This window comes from Homo sapiens, chromosome 13 (assembly GCF_000001405.40).
Source record: "Homo sapiens chromosome 13, GRCh38.p14 Primary Assembly".
NCBI lineage: Eukaryota > Metazoa > Chordata > Mammalia > Primates > Hominidae > Homo > Homo sapiens.
Genome location: NC_000013.11, coordinates 69,006,016 through 69,007,890, shown reverse-complemented (window position 1 = coordinate 69,007,890; position 1,875 = coordinate 69,006,016). Strand labels below are relative to the sequence as shown.

Below are 1,875 nucleotides of genomic sequence, written 5' to 3'. Positions count from 1 at the left end.
TGTAATTTACCATGGTAACTAAGTTTTATCAATCTCCACCCCCATTTTTTCAATCTGCTTACATGACAGAGGCTGTAAGAAGAGCATTCACCAGTAACGTAAACAAAACTGATTCTAATGAAAGAAGACATGCTCACAGAAATATTGAGAAGCCTAATTTACCACCATGCACAATTTAATAAGAACCTGCATTCTTCTTTGTATGATATGTCCTTTTTTATAATTTATTGCTCTTTTGTAATTATTAGTTTATTTTAATGTCCATCATCATTACTTTACATGATATTAGTAAAATTTAGCAAGAATGAAATAGCATTGCTCTATAAAACAGTAAGACCACTTTGAATATACTGCTCACCCAAAAAATGCCAATCAATCTGCTATGGTTTGGCTGTGACCCCACACAAATCTCATCTTGAATTGTAGTTTCCATAATCTCTACGTGTCATGGGAGGGACCCGGTAGGATGTCATTGAATCATGAGGGCAGTTACCCTCCTGCTGTTCTCCTGATAGTGAGTTCTCATGAGATCTGATAGCTTTGTAAGGGGCTCTTCTCCCTTTTTGCTGGGTACTTTTCTTTACGGCTGCCATGTGAAGAAAGACATGTTTGATTCTGCCACGATTGTAAGTTTCCTGAGGCCTCCCCAGTCATGCTGAATTGTGAGTCAATTAAACCTCTTTTGTTTATAAATTATCAAGTTTCACATATGTCTTCATTAGCAGCATGAGAACAGAATAATATATCTGCAATTGATGAAAATCATTTGGCAAAACATTCCTTTCCAAAATATTTTCAAATTAGAAAACATGTTTATGAAACTTGAAAAATAAAATTTAGATTTAGTACTAATGAAAAAATTAGTATTTTTCTACAAAAATATAATTTTTAAAAGATTATAATATATAAAATATTTGTGAAATATTTTTATGGTGCAAATTTTATTGCAGGTAAAGAATAAATCTTATGTTTGTTGTTTATATATGTTAATTTAATTCTCAGTTTTCTGAAAGTTCTTATTTTCATATACTATAAATGATTGCATTATTTATGTGTATTATGGAAATTAAACAGATTAAAAGCAATATTATCAGGGATCTTCAGCACATTCTTGAATGAAGTCATGTGGAAAAATACAAATTATACAACTGAATAGACTGGTAACCCCTTTATTACAAAATAATTAACTTATACTTAAATTTTTTGTTTACTTTAACAAAGTAGTGGCTATAATGAAGTTGTTACGATGTTCCAGAAACTTTTATCCTATGAGGCAGCTAACTTTAATTTACTAATTTGCAAATGAGTAAATAAGTAGTTAAATCTTTTCTCTTTCGTTTTAGTATCCACTATTTTAGTATCCAATATTTCTCTTTGATTAGTATCCAATACTTAAGCTTACTATATAAATATATACCATTTTTAACAAAAAGGTATTATTTTCACCTGCAATTTATTACAATTATTCCAAATAATGTGTCTATTATCATGGTTTCTTTTGGAACTGCTGAGGAAAATGAGTCCTCCATATGGTATGTCATTCTGCAGCAGGTTTTCACAGGCTTGTTCATATGGAACAACAGATTCCAAGAGCAATAACAGAAATGTTTAAACATTTTGAGGGCAGAATTAAAAATTGTTTAATGTTACTTCTGCTTCATTGTACTGGTCAACACAATCAAAAAGTCAACCTAGCTTCAGGAAATACCTGGAATACTTCAGTAAATCCATATCACTAGAATGTTAAGATTAGTCATGGTAAAGCAGATATTTTTGCTTTTTTTGTTCTAACTTGTAACCTCAAAACCTCTATTGCTGTCTGACATATGGTAGGAGCTTAAGAAATATTTCTTTAATGAATAAATAAATCATTAC

General features: G+C 30.4%; 1 annotated feature.

The window, feature by feature from the left end:
* Positions 233-784: an enhancer, noted in NCBI's record as "OCT4-NANOG hESC enhancer chr13:69581239-69581790 (GRCh37/hg19 assembly coordinates)". NCBI's record gives its function as "activates a minimal SCP1, AML or CMV promoter by ChIP-STARR-seq in primed H9 embryonic stem cells {active_cell/tissue: H9 hESC(primed)}" and the evidence as "EXISTENCE:reporter gene assay evidence [ECO:0000049][PMID:30033119]".